The sequence below is a fragment of the Homo sapiens genome, chromosome 17 (genome assembly GCF_000001405.40).
Source record: "Homo sapiens chromosome 17, GRCh38.p14 Primary Assembly".
In the NCBI taxonomy this organism is placed as follows: Eukaryota; Metazoa; Chordata; class Mammalia; order Primates; family Hominidae; genus Homo; species Homo sapiens.
In genome coordinates this window covers 30,202,606-30,217,557 of record NC_000017.11, presented here as the reverse complement: position 1 = coordinate 30,217,557, position 14,952 = coordinate 30,202,606, and the positions used below count along the sequence as shown (strand labels likewise).

The 14,952-nt window shown below is 47.4% G+C and overlaps 1 protein-coding gene and 1 long non-coding RNA gene across 2 annotated transcripts in view, besides 1 other annotated feature; one reads left to right on the top strand and one right to left on the bottom strand.

Moving 5' to 3' along the window:
- The window catches only part of SLC6A4 (solute carrier family 6 member 4), a 41,379-nt gene that overhangs the window by 18,140 nt on the left and 8,287 nt on the right, over window positions 1–14,952 (top strand). The window contains exons 6-14 of the mRNA NM_001045.6: window positions 254–392; window positions 1,342–1,476; window positions 1,844–1,947; window positions 4,691–4,818; window positions 6,134–6,246; window positions 6,912–7,043; window positions 8,316–8,415; window positions 9,726–9,826; window positions 14,219–14,386. Of these exons, the coding sequence (NP_001036.1) occupies window positions 254–392; window positions 1,342–1,476; window positions 1,844–1,947; window positions 4,691–4,818; window positions 6,134–6,246; window positions 6,912–7,043; window positions 8,316–8,415; window positions 9,726–9,826; window positions 14,219–14,386 (1,120 nt within the window). The remainder of the gene's footprint in view (window positions 1–253; window positions 393–1,341; window positions 1,477–1,843; window positions 1,948–4,690; window positions 4,819–6,133; window positions 6,247–6,911; window positions 7,044–8,315; window positions 8,416–9,725; window positions 9,827–14,218; window positions 14,387–14,952) is intronic.
- Window positions 4,437–4,896: an enhancer, noted in NCBI's record as "active region_11991". NCBI's record gives its function as "activates an Ori minimal core promoter by ATAC-STARR-seq in GM12878 lymphoblastoid cells {active_cell/tissue: GM12878}" and the evidence as "EXISTENCE:reporter gene assay evidence [ECO:0000049][PMID:35858748]".
- On the bottom strand, window positions 11,046–14,556 carry LOC124903970 (uncharacterized). Its single transcript, XR_007065699.1, has 2 exons — window positions 14,022–14,556; window positions 11,046–13,239 (listed from the first exon to the last, which is right to left on the bottom strand). It is a non-coding gene; the product is annotated as an uncharacterized LOC124903970 (long non-coding RNA).

Genomic DNA, 14,952 nt, shown 5'->3' with positions numbered 1-14,952 from the left:
TCCCATCCAGCAAAGGAGAATCCAGGAAGTCTGCCTTTAGGTTGAACACTCTTCCCAGGGTGTTGGCCAAATGTGCTTTGTGGTCCTTCAGGACAGGCAGGGCCAATCCCAGCTCTTCCTGGGCCTCAGTGACCACTTGGTCCTAGCAGCACCGTGTCCATTTGTCCCGGGCACCCTCAAAGGAGCAGCACAGATGTGTGCCCAGGTCACTCTACAGAGCCTCTCAGGGGCCTTTCTTTCTCCTTCACCCCAGGCGCCACGTCCTGCAGATCCACCGGTCTAAGGGGCTCCAGGACCTGGGGGGCATCAGCTGGCAGCTGGCCCTCTGCATCATGCTGATCTTCACTGTTATCTACTTCAGCATCTGGAAAGGCGTCAAGACCTCTGGCAAGGTGAGGAAGGCTCTGGCTGCTGACCCAGGCCTGCCCAGGGGCCCACAGGCTCTCAAACTCAAAACCCAGTAGCCTGGACAGACAGCACTGTTTCCTTCCACACCAAACACATTCCATGATGCACCCTCTCTCTCTTCACCGCATTTGTTAGAAAATTCTAGAAGTGGGTTGGGCATGGTGGCTCACGTCTCTAATCCCAGCACTTTGGGAGGCTGAGGTGGGTGGATCATTTGAGGCCAGGAGTTCAAGACCAGCCTGGCCAACACATCGAAACCTCATCTCTACTTAAACAAACAAACAAACAAACAAACAAACAAACAAAAAAAAACAATAGCCAGGTGTGGTGGCAGGTGCCTGTAATCCCAGCTACTCGGGAGGCTGAGGCAAGAGAATCACTTGAACCTGGGAGGTGGAGATTTCTGTGAGCCAAGATCATGCCATTACACTCCTGGGCAGCAGAGTGAAATTCTGTCTCACTAAAAAAAAAAAGGAAAAGAAAAAAGAATATTTTCTAGAAATGGGCCAATGCCAAGAACCATTACATGATTTTTTTTTTTCAAGATTCCTTCAACCCACTGGTAGTACCACAATTAATAATCGTGGCAATGACTTACTGGAAACCCATCATGGACCATGTTCAGTGCTTTTTATACACTGGCCAGTGCTATTGTTTCCTGCTAGATACTCCCTCAACCTTACAGATGCATAGTGGGCTCAGAGGTAGTTCTCCTGGCCAACCTGAATCCGATCCCTGTGTGACTCCAAGGGTTGTGATCTTTCTGCCACACCACCTCGCCCTCCTTTCTCAAGGTCTTCAAGAATAAAAGACACTGACATCCATTCACCCACCTCCCTCCCCTCCCCTCCCCTCCCCCGCTCCCTTCTCCTTCTCCCCTCCCCTCCCCTCCCCTCCCTGGAACAGCATGGTGATAACCCTTCTTCCTTACAGGTGGTGTGGGTGACAGCCACCTTCCCTTATATCATCCTTTCTGTCCTGCTGGTGAGGGGTGCCACCCTCCCTGGAGCCTGGAGGGGTGTTCTCTTCTACTTGAAACCCAATTGGCAGAAACTCCTGGAGACAGGGGTAAGATGATGAGGGAAATATGTGTACCTGTCTGTCATTTTACTAAACGAAGCTGGTCCTCCTCCAAATAGGACAGTAGGGACAACTGAAATGTGGCTTCAGTGTGCAAGTCTGCAATGATACTTTAACCAAGAAATACAAGCATTAAAGTACAGTTGAGGCCACTGGATGGGTTTATGCCTGAATCATAGGAAGAGAAATCACATTTGTTGGCACTTGGTTTATGGCTATGCCTGGAATGAGCCTTAAAAGCTGTTTTTCTGCCTCTGCACTTAGCCACATGGAGGCAGGAGTGGCGACCCTGTTGGTGCCAGGGTAAGCCTGTGTCTCCCCCTCACCCCATGCCCTTACCCCTGCTGTGTTCCAGGTGTGGATAGATGCAGCCGCTCAGATCTTCTTCTCTCTTGGTCCGGGCTTTGGGGTCCTGCTGGCTTTTGCTAGCTACAACAAGTTCAACAACAACTGCTACCAGTGAGTATCTGGGGTCCCCAAGCAAAGCTTGAAAGTGGCGTGAGTGAAAGTCAGCTAGTGTGGAGGAAGGTGATTGGACCGACGGCCTCGAATCTGGCCAGGCTTAGGCCTTGATACCACTGCCCCTCAGGGGTGCTGCAGGCCCCTGACCAGCTCACCCATGGCCAGAGCACTCATCCAGGCCGTGGCTTCACCTGGGCCACTCAGGCTGAGAGGGGCCCCATGCCCTTCGGTTTTGTCAGCGCTCCTGTATATAAAAATAATAAGAGGCTGGACATGGTGGCTCACGCCTGTAATCCCAGCACTTTGGGAGGCCAAGGCAGGTGGATCACCTGAGGTCAGGAGTTCCAGGCTAACCTGGCCAACATGGCGAAACCCTGTCTGTACTAAAAATACAAAGATTAGCCAGGCATGGTGTTGCACACCTGTAAGCACAGCCACTTGGGAGGCTGAGGCACGAGAAGTTGCAGTGAGCTGAGATCTTGCCACTACACTCCAGCCTGAGTGACAGAGCAAGATTCCAGAAAGAAAGAAAGAGAGAGAGAGAAAGAGAGAGAGAGAAATAAAGAAAGAAAGAAAGAAAGAAAAAAGAAAGAAAGAAAGAAAGAAAGGAAGGAAGGAAAGAAAAAGAAAGAAAGAAGAAAGAAGGAAGGAAAGAAAGAAAGAAAGAAAGAGAGAGACGGGGTGCGGTGGCTCCCACCTGTAATCTCAACACTTTGGGAGGCCGAGGCGGGTGGATCACGAGGTCAGGAGATCGATACCATCCTGGCTAACACGGTGAAACCCCATCTCTACTAAAAATACAAACAAATTAGCCGGGCGTGGTGGCGGGCGCCTGTAGTCCCAGCTACTCAGGAGGCTGAGACAGGAGAATGGCGTGAACCCAGGAGGTGGAGTTTGCGGTGAGCCGAGATTGTGCCACTGCACTCCAGCCTGGGCGACAGAGTGAGATTCCATCAAAAAAAAAAAAAAAAAAGAAAGAAAGAAAGAGAAATTGCAAAGCAAGTTTACAAAAAGCTGCAACATACAATTAAGTAGTTAGGTTTAACTAGTCAATGTGTTTAACAATAAAAATTGTAATGTGATTATTTGTATTATGTATAAACAAAAAGTATGATGATCACATTATTTTGACTAACACAAAATACCATAATTTTTCTTTTCTTTTCTTTTTTTTTTTTTTTTTTTGAGACGGAGTTTCGCTCTTGTTGTCCAGGCTGGAGTGCAATGGCGCAATCTCAGCTCACCACAACCTCTGCCTCCCGGGTTCAAGCGATTCTCCTGCCTCAGCCTCCCGAGTAGCTGGGATGACAGGCATGCGCCACCACGACTGGCTAAATTTGTATTTTTAGTAGAGATGGGGTTTCTCCATGTTGGTCAGGCTGGTCTCCAACTCCCGACCTCAGGTGATCCACCTGCCTCAGCCTCCCAAAGTGCTGGGATTACAGGCGTGAGCCACTGTGCCCAGCCAAAATGCCATAATTTTTGCAACAAAATCCTATTTCAGAAATTTTAACAGAACAGGAAATGTTACACCAATTATGGTTTTAAATATCACCCACTGGGCCAGGTGCAGTTGCTCAAACCTGTAATCTTAGCCCTTTGGGAGGCTGAGGCAGGAGGATCACTTGAGCCTAAGAGTTTGAGTCCAGCCTGGGCAACATGGTGAGATCCCATCTCTACAAAAAATTTAAAAATTAGCTGAGTGTGGTGGTGCATGCCTATGGTCCCAGCTCTTCAGGAGGCTGAAGCAGGAGGATTGCTTGAGCCCGGGAGGTTAAGGCTGCAGTGAGCTGTGTTCATGCCACTGCACTTCAGCCTGTGCAACAGAGGGAGACCCTATCTCAAAAATAAATAAATAAATAAATAAATAAATGTCACCCATCATCTTTAGACTTAATTTTAATTGATCACAGATGGCAGCATCCATCAATCTCTTTGTGCTATGCATAAGATAATTGTAAAACTGATTTTTTTAAAGGTGGGAGGGAGATTCACATGTACCCTAAGCAATGTGGCCTTGCACTGGGACACCACCCTGCAGTTGTATGATGAGGCTGTCATTTAAAAGTGTGAGATCAGGAGTTTGAGACCAGCCTGGCCAACATGGGGAAACCCCATCTCTACTAAAAATACAAAAATTAGCCAGGCGTGGTCGTGGGCGCCTGTAATCCCAGCTACTTGGGAGGCGGAAGCAGGAGAATCACCTGAACCCGGGAGGCAGAGGGTACAGTGAGCTGAGATCAAGCCACTGCACTCCAGCCTGGGCAATAGAGCAAGGCTCTGTCTCAAAAAAAAAAAAAAAAAAGAAAAAAAAATGAGGGTATCTCTCTGGCTGGCAGTCTGTGACTTAGTTTGAAGATAAAGCCTAAATCTGAGGATCTCACAAATGTGAGGCTCAGGCCCTGTCCTGGCCCCCACTCCAACCTGGGCCCTGCTCCAGAACAAGGCTGGTTTGAAATGGAGAGGTCTGTGCTAGCAGGATTGCCTTTTAAAGCACCCCTGACTGCTCTTCTCCCTCCACCATGTGTGGTGGTCATGGCAGTCAGAGCTTCAGGCCTCGGCAGCTGGGTTCTGGGAGAAGGCGAAGGGACTCCGGGACAGGCTTGAGGTTCCTTGAGTTCAGCCTGCTTGTCCTTGCTGTGGCCGCCCTGTCTAAGGCAGGGCAGGCACACGGACAGATGCTCCTTAGACCCCTGATCTTGGAACTGTCTCAGGCGGCCCCTTGGGTTTTCCCCTCCAGAGATGCCCTGGTGACCAGCGTGGTGAACTGCATGACGAGCTTCGTTTCGGGATTTGTCATCTTCACAGTGCTCGGTTACATGGCTGAGATGAGGAATGAAGATGTGTCTGAGGTGGCCAAAGACGCAGGTAGGACCTCGGGTTCTATGCAGGTCCCTTGCTCCTACTGAGTTGCTTTGCTTTGAATCTTTGTAAAGATCTAACTTTTGATTTATTTCTAAATGTTCCTGAAATTTTCCAAAGAAGGCTGGGCATGGTGGAGTTCAAGACCAGCCTGGGCAACATAGTGAGACCCTGCCTCTATAAAAAAATAAATGAGCTGGGCATGGTAGTGCACACCTATAGTCCCAGCTACTCAGGAGGCTGAGGTGGGAAGATTGCTTGAGCCTGGGAGGTCAAGGCTACAGTGAGCCATGATCACACCACTGTACTTCAGCCTGGGTGACAGAATAAGACCCTGTTTCCAAAACATTTTTTATTCAAAGATTTGAGAGAAGCTCGATGCCTTAGAGATCTTTCCATGTGTTCAGGCCATGCAGGGACAGGGCAACTCCCTTGGCACCCAGTTCTGGGGCCTCCAAAATCTATGGGCTTGAAATGATGACTCTGATGATGGCTTTAAAACCAGTGGGTTTGCTTCCTGTGATGGTCTTGTGATGGCTCAAAGTCTAGTAAGCAAATATCATTTATCCTTAGAACTGCCCCTTGCAGAAAAAGAAAATCTAGCCAATATGACCACTCTATTTTACCGTGAAGTTTTTGTGGAAAAAGAAAAGAGCAACAGAGGGAGAAAAAACAGATGATGGCATCTAGTGGGCGAGGTCCCAGGGCCTTCTTGTTACAAGCATGTTAGCATGCTTGTATCTTTGGCCTGATTCGGTGCTTTGACCAACCCCATACCCCAAACGAGGGCACCCCTAGCTAACCCATGAGAGGCTGAAGACATGTCCCTCACACTTTCAAAAGGGACTTTAAAATAGAAAGAGGTCTTTATTCCAAAGCCTCTGTGACTCTACGGAAATCAATTTAACATTTCCTACTGTTCTGAAGCTGAAGACATCAGAGGGGGCTAACTGTCATGGACTTTAGAAATATCAATCCTGGTCCTGAGAAATCCCATGGAATTGTTATATGGTGGAAACTCTTATTCTCATGTGCAGCTTTGCCAGTCTCTGGGTCTTGGATCTGTTACCCACCCCCAGGGTTAATGGAGGGCACACAGTTTTCAAGATGGAAGCCCCACCCTTCCTGCCTCCCAGGAACTGGGGTGGCCACGTCAGACGGAGTAGAGTGTGAGGACGCACTTGGTGTGTGTCAAAACCTGATTCACACATAAGGTCTTGTGATGAGAATTGTAACTGTTGTTGTGGCTGAGTTTTCCTCTGTGACATCTTTGTAGGACAGGTCTTGTCAACCACCTCCTCCTCTCTCCCCTCTGTCTCAGGTCCCAGCCTCCTCTTCATCACGTATGCAGAAGCGATAGCCAACATGCCAGCGTCCACTTTCTTTGCCATCATCTTCTTTCTGATGTTAATCACGCTGGGCTTGGACAGCACGGTGAGGAAATGGGAAGGGGAAATGGGCTGTGGGAGGATGAAGAGGAAAGGAGGAGGACTCAGCTGGACTCAATTCCCTCCCATCCCTGGCCATCCCAGGCAGCTTTGGCTACTCCCTTCTGGTGCTCCAGACCCCCGGCTGACTCCTCGGCATTTACCACCCTCTGGTACATTCGAGTCATTAATGGGATAAAGTGGGTCAAGCGCCAGGCGCTTATGAGGCCCAAGGCTCACATATGTGAACTGTTATTAAGCACTGTCCCTTGGCCCAATTATGGCGCCTACAGGCCGGGGCGAGGTCTCTCCTGGGTCTCTGCTTTGCCAAGGGTTCAGTTCAGGGCCTGGAATTATTAGTGTGGAGTGAGTCTCAGCTTTGAGTTGGCCTTTCTGGTGCAAACGGAGTCTCCCCGAGAGACCTCATATATTGAAGTTCTGTCCACGTGTGCTATTTTGTTTCCTGGCTCTCCTTAGTGATGGGCTTTAAATGACAGTGTAAAACAGGGAAATACTCTTTGAGATGCTTACATGGTCCAGCGAGCCGGGGAACTGGTGATGATCAGCTTGACCAGTCACTTAGCAACCTTACCCCTCCCTCCTGTTCACTGTCCTGAAGGCCACAGCCTTGTCCCAAAGCCTCCACCGTGACTGCTTGCCTGTACCTCTCAGTTTGCAGGCTTGGAGGGGGTGATCACGGCTGTGCTGGATGAGTTCCCACACGTCTGGGCCAAGCGCCGGGAGCGGTTCGTGCTCGCCGTGGTCATCACCTGCTTCTTTGGATCCCTGGTCACCCTGACTTTTGTGAGTATCATGCCCCTCAGCTTTGAGTTGGCCTCCCCTAGGGCAGCAGAACGCTACAGGAAGCTGTTCGTCTCCTTCCATCTCACACAGTGCCCTGGCTTTGGGACCAAAGGAGGGGAGGTTGTTACTCCCATTAAAAGGTTTGTCATCAAGGAGAAGAAAAGTTGTTTCTTGTGCATCTACTTGCAGATTCCGTGCATAGTATCCAGGGGCTGTCAGCATTTTACCGCAGATCCCACTAGATTTCAGGCTTCAAAAACTATCTGGAGAAAATTAGGATTTGCTTTTCCAGCCTATTTCCACTCTTTAGAGCTGCTTTCTTGAGGATACTGCCCTGACGTTCTTCACGTCATGTGTGTAATGCCGCTTGGTCTCCTCCAGAATTTGCAATGGTAAAGAAGTCACACCCTCTCTAGAGATCCTTTTTTTTTTTTTTTGGTAGCTGAAGTAAATACTCTAAGGCAGATTTTGCAAATGTGCATCTTTAAGCCGTGACCCCGATGGCCCTGGAGTGGGGGTCAAGGGGACTGAGTGGAACCCCAGTGAGTCATGATTTAGGACAGAAAGGCAAAACTGTGACCAAGGCCCTTAATGTGTCTGGTATCCTGGGCCCTTCTGGATTCAGTCTTTAGAGGCAGGGATTCTCCAGGGTCGTGTCCACAGCAGGTGTTCAATAAGTTGAAGAAAGTTTAAAATAGATCCCAAGGCCCTTTGGAGTTTGTCTCTTAAAATTTAGTGGGGTGAAGAAATGAGAAGAATGAACTACATAGGATGGGAAGAGGCGTCTGAGTGGGTAAAACCTGCCCACACTGCCACTGCAAAGGCCAGTCCAAGAACAGTCCAAGAAACAGTTTCTTTTTTTTTTTTTTTTGGACAGAGTCTTGCTCTGTCCCCCAGGCTGGAGTGCAATGGTGCTATCTCAGCTCACTGCAACCTCTGCCTCTCGTTCAAGCAATTCTCCCGCCTCAGCCTCCTGAGTAGCTGGGATTAAAGGCGTGTGCCACCACGCCTGGCTAATTTTCACCATATTGGCCAGGCTGGTCTCAAACTCCTGACCTCAGGTGATACGCCCGCCTCAGCCTCCCAAAGTGCTGGGATGACAGGCATGAGCCACCGCACCTGGCCTAAGAGGCAGTTTCTGGGGTACTCACGTTCGGTCCCAGGTGGGATTTTTCCAGAATGATTCTAAGTGAGGAAGCCCCTGCAGGTCTCTGTAGTTGGGAGGGGTGGCTCCTTGGAGGGCCCTCACCCAGGCTCTGCTCTCCCCTCCAGGGAGGGGCCTACGTGGTGAAGCTGCTGGAGGAGTATGCCACGGGGCCCGCAGTGCTCACTGTCGCGCTGATCGAAGCAGTCGCTGTGTCTTGGTTCTATGGTAAGACGCTTCCTTCAGCCAGCTGGGTCCCTTCTACACCATCAGCCAGCACAGTAGCAAAGGGCTGATTTCACCAAAAAAGGCTGTGAGGGGCAGTTTACAAGATGTGACCTCCCGATGATGGGTCTGTAAAAGAGTCTCGGCCAGGCGCGGTGGCTCACGCCTGTAATCCCAGCATTTTGGGAGGCTGACACAGGTGGATCACCTGAGATCAGGAGTTCGAGACCAGCCTGGCCAACATGGTGAAACTCCATCTCTACTAAAAATACAAAAAAAAAAAAAAATTAGCCGGGCATGATGGCGCAAGCCTGTAATCTCAGCTACTCAGGAGGCTGAGGCAGGAGAATTGCTTGAATCTGGGAGGCAGAGGTTGCAGTGAGCCAAGATCGCGCCACTGCACTCCAGTCTGGACAACAGAGTGAGAGTCTGTCTCGAAACAAACAAAAAACCCAAAAACAAACAAAAATAAACCACTTTTGCATGTTATTTGTTACACATATTATCAAGGAGGGGGCACATTTTGGGTTGCACACAGGGCTGCTTTTGTTTTGTTTTGTTTTGTTTTTTAAAGAAGAAATCTTCCCACCTCCTTGGCAATTCAGACGACCAAGTTCAAGTGTGTGAATCTCCATAGACCTGCCCTAGGAACTGCTGGGACCTCTCGGGGAAGCAACCACAGAGCACCTTCCCCTTCTCAATTTCTCACTCTTCTTTGGGAGTTCTCAGTTCTCACTTCCTTACCAGTTACTTTTTATAGAAGAACCTTGATCTTGATCTGGCATATGAATGGGCAATATTGTGGTTAAAAATTTCCCTTGAAAGTTTCCAGTGTCATGGTCAAAGTCAGTGTCTGTCAGGCGGGTTCACCATTCCTGGACAAAATTCAACTGTTTTATAATAACAATGAAATCAGATACACACTCAGCTCTCAGGAAGGCGGTGTGGCACCAAGAAGGGGGTGTGTGTCTCTTCCCAGATGCCCATCCATCCTCCCAAATGTCCATCCATCCTTCCAGATGCCCATCCGTCCTCCCACCCTATGTAGAAAGAGTCTTGCTTGCTATAAAAATGCAGTTTTGTGACAAGTCCCCCAGCCCCACTTTCGGACCAGATTGTTGTCGCTGTACTCCTCCTAGAGAGAAATTCCAGAGCTACCCTGTGTGTCCGGGGTAGGAATTCCGGCTTGTCATTTCCCCTTGTCATTCCCAGTGCTGATCCTGTGACTCTGACTCTCCCAGAGAATCAGGGCACAGCAGCACAGCCCATGTCCTTTCTTAGTCTCTGCCTCTCTTCCCCTTGGGCGGTTCCAGGCATCACTCAGTTCTGCAGGGACGTGAAGGAAATGCTCGGCTTCAGCCCGGGGTGGTTCTGGAGGATCTGCTGGGTGGCCATCAGCCCTCTGTTTCTCCTGGTGAGTTGCCATTTCCCTTCTCCTCCTTGCCCTGGCGAAAGACTTCCCCCAGACACATAAAAAATGAATTGTAATGGCTGGGCACGGTGGCTCATCCTTGTAATCCCAACACTTTGGGAGTCTGAGGCAGGCGGCCAACATGGCAAAACCCCGTCTCTACTTAAAAAAATACAAAAATTAGCCGGGTGTGGTGATGGGCACCTGTAATCCCAGCTACTCAGGAAGCTGAGGCAGGAGAATGGCTTGAACCCAGGAGGCGGAGGTTGCAGTGAGCTGAAATTGCGCCACTGCACTCCAGCCTGGGTGACAAAGTGAGACTCTATTTCAGAAAAGAAATAAATAGTATTGAAGAATAACATATACAGAAAAGTATTAATATACAGCTCGTAAGTGTACATCTCAAAGAAATGTTATAAATTGAGCACACCTATGTAGCCAAAACCATACCAGGAGACAAAAACATGACCAGCACTTCAGAAGCCCCTCTTGTGCCCCCTCCCAGCCACTATGCCCACCATGGTTCCCCACCCTTCTGACTCCTAACACCATGGAGTAGTCTGGGCTTCAGTCACTCTGGCAGTGATAGTGATGCATAACATTTATGGAGCGCTAAATGCCAGGCCAGACTTCAGGCTCAACTTACACTCACTTTTCTATAAATCCTCACAATAGTTCTATGAAGTGGTTATAGTTCTGGCACTCCCATTTTACATTTAAGGAGATTGAGGCTGGGTGCAGTGGCTCATGCCTGTTATCCCAGCACTTTGGGAGGCTGAGGTGGTTGGATCACCTGAGGTCAGGAGTTCAAGACCAGCCTGGCCAACATGGTGAAACCCCGTCTCTACTAAAAATATAAAAATTAGCTGGGCATGGTACTAGGTGCTACTCAGGAGGCTGAGGCAGGAGAATTGCTTGAACCTGGGAGGCGGAGGTTGCAGTGAGCTGAGATCGCGCCATTGCACTCCAGCCTGGGCGATAGAGCAAGACTCTGTCTCAAAAAAAAAAAAAAAAAAAAAAAAGAAAAGAAAAGAAAAAAGGAGATTGAGGCTTAGCAATGTAAAGTGAAGGGTCCAAAGTCACATAACAAAAAGAACTGTTCAAGACCAGGGAAGGATCTGCTATGCTCTTCATGGGGGCCCTGGATGGGGTACTAGTACTTCTGTGTTTACAATTTTGTATGCATCTTCTTCAAGATGATACAAAGCTCTCTAAGCAAAAATCCACGTCAAAAGTAGAATCCATTTATTACCAAAGGACCTGGGTGAGAAAGTTGAGTCCCAAGGGTTGTCCACGTGTTGAGATGTGTTCAATATTCACTTTGTCCTTGGTTCACGTGCCCCTGTCCAAGATGGATAACAGCCTGCTGGCCTGCCAAGTGTGTGCTGAAGTAGCCTGGGGTAAACTGATGTCATGCACACCAGCAGGCACTATTCTTCAGTTCTTTCATTTATCTGTAACTTTGTTTTTTTTGTGTTTTTTTTTTTTTTTTTGTCTTTTAGAGCCAGAAATGTTGTTAGATTCTTCCTTCAGTCCACCTCCAGCCTATTAGGAGTATATGGGCTATCCCATTTTGTTTTAGGACATCTCTTTGGCATCCAGCTGTTCTGTGTCCCCTTTCAAAACAGCTGGGTGCAGTGGTTCACACCTGTAATCCCAGCATTTTGGGAGGCCGAGGCAGGTGGATCCCTTGAGGTCAGGAGTTCAAGACCAGCCTGGGCAACATGGCGAAACCCTGTCTTTACTAAAAATACAAAAATTAGCAGGACGTGAACAAGACTCAGTCTAAACAAACAAACAAACAAACAAAAAACAAACATGAAAACAGCCCTTTTTGTATTCTGTGTTTTGACTTTCTTGGGGTAACCCTTTATTTTTTGTACTTCTTTTGTACCCACACATCTTGACATTAACTTATCTATGATGGACAACATGCTTGTTCTTGTCTCTGTGACACTGCATGTGTCTCTCTGTACCCCAGAATTCCTCTTTGACTTCCTTTCCCCCAGACCCTGGAGGTTTCCAAAATCAAAGCCAGTGTTTGCACCAAGCAGCACATGTTCCCAGGCTGCAGTGACTCTGGTGCAAGCTCTGGGCTCCTGAGATGTTGGCCTCGGAGCTCCTTATGACCTTATCAGCTTGCTGATGCATTTAGGCACATTTAAAATGCGTGTGTTTTTAAATCCAGAAGTTTTAGTTGTTTTCAGTGAGAGGGTTGTTGGAAATCGCCTAGCCCATCCTACCAGAAGCAGAAGCCCTGACATAAATGGGTTATTAATTTATATTATTACCAGTACTTCTCAATAATCTACTTAAATATTTTTATTTGTTTTTCAAAGGAAGAAGAGTCATTGGATTAATTCCTTGAGGGCAGAAAGATGTTTGTTTGTTTGTTTGTTTACTTCCATATTTATTCCCCACGCAGTGAGGAAATGATGTCTAGGGGAGACTTGAAGGCAAGTGAAACATTCACTGTGGGTATAAAATTTAAGAAGGCACCAAAGAGCTCAGGACTCAGGATAAATATTATTTTCACACAATATTTTTTAAAAATAAAAATTAATTCAAAAAGATCCATGATTAACAAAGTATCAACATTTTCAATAAACACAGGAGCCAGCCCTGTACTTGTACATCGTACTTCACTCGCTTTACCCTCATCTGGCCCTGTTAGATCCTGTCTTTTAAAAAATTGTAATAAAATATTATTTATTTTGATTTTGGCTCCTGCTGAAATGTCGTGCCTGAGGTGAGTGCCTCCATGTGCCCTGGGGCTTGGGGCTGTTCGTTTCTGTCAATTTCCTGCTGTCAGACTGGGTACACTCTTGATGCACAGTCATTGAGTTTCTTTGCCCAGGAAAACCCACGTGCAGCTTTGGATGTGGGCGCACTACTCATAATTCCCATGATGTTTGCCATACTCACCCCTCTACAGCCAAGTGCCCTAGTGCCTGAGAGAGGCAAATCTGTCTTCCACTTCTACGTTCACTTAACAGATCCCCTGCTCTGGGCTTCTTAAGGCTGCTTTAGGTAAACAACAAGTAGCTTACTAAAAATATTCTTTTTCACTGCAGCCAAGTTAAAAAAAAGAAAATATTGTGTACGAGTAGAGGCCAGGATGTGTGAGGGGGTTTCTGAAGTAGCACTTGCCCCAACCGGAGGTTGAGTCCCCCAATGACTGAGTGGGATTTCACACACCTGACATTAAGAGACAAGCAGCCGGGATGGCTCCTAACCAGATCTTCTTTCCCTGTTCCCAAACCATCTTTCTTCATAGCCGGCTCTGGGGATGAGGAGCCTGGGTTAGGAGGAAGGTTTGCAATTGACCAGGTTCCTGTTTTGAAGGCTTCCACCTAGACTTAAGATAGCACCGCTCAGAAGATGGATGTGTGTTTAGCAATTTCCCATTTTATTACCTGCAGACAAAGAAAAAAAAAGATATAAATAGATGTTTAACCACACAAATAATTCACATTACTGTCTTCTTTATGACTGTGAAATAATAAAATAAAATTAAATCAACAGCAATAACAATTTCGGCACAGTGGTTACTAGGCAAAATCTGGAAACCAAATTGAAATAAGAAAACTCATAAACTGGGTGTTGGGAGCACACTGTGGAATTTTTCTTGGTCAAAATTCTCACAGAGTGTTCAAGTGAAAGGTGTATTAAGCTGCTATTTTTCCTTCCATAATTCCTTTCATGATGAGGACCTGTGGCAGGCAGACATTCATTGTTGAGATGCCTAGTGGCAGAGCCATCCTTGTTGAAACTCCAGGCGATGCAGCTTAATGCAGAAGGCAGAGAGCTCAGGAAAATGGGAGAAGGACACACCCCCAGGAGCCTGAGTCCTCTCTGGGTCTTGAGAACCTTCTTATCTTTCCTGGACATCAGGCACCTTCCGTCTGACCAAAAACAACCACAGCCAGAAACGCAAGGCAATGAAAACAAAGCAGAGAGAAATATGAAGCCTGGGGCCTGGCGGGGGGCTGCGGAGAGGTCACCCAGTTTATTCCTCTGCCTTCTGGCAAGACAAGGCCCAAATTACTCTCAAGGTTGCCAGTCTCTTTGCCTGGGCAGAGGCCTGTGCTGAAGTGGGAGCTGCAGGCTTCAGCCCCGACTGTAGGGGCAGCTGTAGGGCTGCTGCAACATCCCCCTATAGGAAGTGAGGGCTGGGGAGGAAAATCAGGGAAAGCACCTGGCTGGTGTAGTCTTGCAGCTTGGGTACAGAAGTTGGTAATTCTGTGTGTCAGAGTTCAATCCAGGATATATCACATCTTGGGAATTTCCTGAAAGTATCTTAGCTTTAGCATTTGGTGTTTGTGGTATCGGAAACATCTCTATCTGAGTGGATATTGTTAAGGTTTTTAATGTTTCTTGGAATTTCTGTTTTAGTTCATCATTTGCAGTTTTCTGATGAGCCCGCCACAACTACGACTTTTCCAATATAATTATCCTTACTGGAGTATCATCTTGGGTTACTGCATAGGAACCTCATCTTTCATTTGCATCCCCACATATATAGCTTATCGGTTGATCATCACTCCAGGGACATTTAAAGAGGTACGTGCTAGTTAGTGTGTATATGTGTGTGTTCAGACTACTAATTGTTTTGGGAGAAAAGGATTATCTTGTTATGCTCTATTCAAAATGAGATTCACCAGGAGGCATGCAACCCTATATATGTATGTACCTGTGCCATGGCGAAGACCTCTAATGGCTGTCACTGTTATCTTAAGGCATCTCCCAAAGCCTCAAATGCAAGGGCAAAAGAGTGAGCTGATCATTTGGGTGCACCAGAGCATTCAGCTTGGGCTGTGCATAGGTTTTCAAACTTATCAGACAACTACCCTGCCTCCTGCTTGCCACTGGGCATGGATATCAGACCTGTGATGTCTGGAGCAATACACAAATTTTAAGTGGCAATTATGGTGGGAAATGTCCATGGTCACTTTTCTAACAGCAATGTGAAAAGTATTATTTTGAAAATCATCACAAAATAAGGATGTTGCAACAGTATCATAGTTTTAGATCAAAATTATTAGCTATCTAACAATAGCATGATTTTAGCTCAAGCCATTGGAGTAAAAATGTTTTGCCAGGATAGCAAGATTCATTTCGGTAATGAA